We start from the raw sequence: 1,711 nt of genomic DNA, 5'->3' as shown, positions 1-1,711 counted from the left end.
TATGCTACACAGGAGGGGAAACCGTGATTTTTCATGAAACTGTGCAACCCACAGATCAGAAGACCCCCACTCGCTGTAATGCCCAACCTGGTTTTTACTAACCCTGTTTTTAGACTCTCCCTTTCCTTTAATCACCTAGCCTTGTTTCCACCTGAATTGACTCTCCCTTAGCTAAGAGAGCCAGACAGACTCCATCTTGGCTCTTTCACTGGCAGCCCCTTCCTCAAGGACTTAACTTGTGCAAGCTGACTCCCAGCACATCCAAGAATGCAATTAACTGATAAGATACTGTGGCAAGGTATATCCGCAGTTCCCAGGAATTCGTCCGATTGATAATGCCCAAAGCTCCGGGTCTATCACCTTGTAATAGTCTTAAAGCCCCTGCACCTGGAACTGTTTACTTTCCTGTAACCATTTATCCTTTTAACTTTTTGACTACTTTACTTCTGTAAAATTGTTTTAACTAGATCCACCCCCCCATCCCCTTTCTAAACCAAAGTATAAAAGAAAATCTAGCCCCTCCTTCGGGGCGGAGAGAATTTTGAGCGTTAGCCATCTCTTGGCCGCCGGCTAAATAAACGGACTCCTAATTCGTCTCAAAGTGTGGCGTTTTCTCTAACTCGCTCAGGTACAACATCGCAAACCCAGCCACCGGGGCCTAGCGTTCCAACCCCGGAACACGCAGATCCTCATCAGCCTCTCTCACCTGTAATCTGCTTAAGCCTGCTGAGTTCTGGGAGGAGGGGCAACCAGCACCACGCTGTGGCTGCCGGTTGTTTAAGCCCTTGGAGCTCCTTGTGGGAGGGGCAGCAGCCAGCACTGGGACTGGCAACTGCCTAACATACTAAGCTCTTTGGGCAGGAAAAGGGCGACATCCATCTCTATAGCTCCAGGCTGTGCTTTTCCCCTGCTGGAGCCGGGGAGACTGGAGGGTTTGGTCCCAAGACTTGTGCCCCACAGCCCAACACACTGGATGTGGCAGTCTGCAGCTAGAGTGCTTCTTCAGGCCTCCCCCTGACCCATCTGTCCTCACTGGGCGGGGATTCCCTGCAGTAACTCCAATAATTCCAGCCAGAGGCTCACGGACAGAACCCAGATCTTCCTGGGCCTGAGCCCCTAGGGGGAAGGGTGGCCACAGTCTCTGCAGACCAGCAGTTCTAGCCTTTCCTCCTGGTATTTCTGAGGAATCCAGGCAGCCCAGACAAGTGTATTTCCCCCCAGCAAGGCACACCCCCTCCACCAAGGGACAAAGTACTTCATTAGATGGGTCCTGTCCCCCATGCCACCCAACTGGGTGAGATCTTCCAACAGGACTTTTCAGACACCCTATACAGGAGTGATCCTACTGGCATCAGGTTGGTGCCCCTAGAGGTCAGAGGTCGCAGAAGAAGGATCAGGCACCCATCTTTGCTGTTCTCCAGGCCCCTTAAGTGATATCTCCAGGCGTGGGAGAGAATCAGATGAATAGAGCCTGAAGTGAATCCCCAGCAAACTGTAGCAACCCTGCGGAAGAGGGATCTGACCATTGAAAGAAAAACAAGCAGAAAGCAACAACAACAGCATTAACAACGACAACCAAAAAGCCCCACAAAAAACCCACCCAAGGGTCAGCAGCCTCAAAGACTGAAAGTAGACAAACTCATGACGAGAAAGAATCAATGAAAAAATGCTGAAAACCCAAAAGATCAGAGCGCCTCTTCTCCAAATAATC

At 50.7% G+C, this 1,711-nt stretch overlaps 2 annotated features.

Moving 5' to 3' along the window:
- Window positions 357-860: an enhancer, noted in NCBI's record as "H3K4me1 hESC enhancer chr1:69778087-69778590 (GRCh37/hg19 assembly coordinates)". NCBI's record gives its function as "activates a minimal SCP1, AML or CMV promoter by ChIP-STARR-seq in primed H9 embryonic stem cells {active_cell/tissue: H9 hESC(primed)}" and the evidence as "EXISTENCE:reporter gene assay evidence [ECO:0000049][PMID:30033119]".
- Window positions 861-1,365: an enhancer, noted in NCBI's record as "H3K4me1 hESC enhancer chr1:69777582-69778086 (GRCh37/hg19 assembly coordinates)". NCBI's record gives its function as "activates a minimal SCP1, AML or CMV promoter by ChIP-STARR-seq in primed H9 embryonic stem cells {active_cell/tissue: H9 hESC(primed)}" and the evidence as "EXISTENCE:reporter gene assay evidence [ECO:0000049][PMID:30033119]".

The sequence above is a fragment of the Homo sapiens genome, chromosome 1, assembly GCF_000001405.40.
Source record: "Homo sapiens chromosome 1, GRCh38.p14 Primary Assembly".
In the NCBI taxonomy this organism is placed as follows: Eukaryota; Metazoa; Chordata; class Mammalia; order Primates; family Hominidae; genus Homo; species Homo sapiens.
This window is presented reverse-complemented; position numbering and strand designations above follow the sequence as displayed.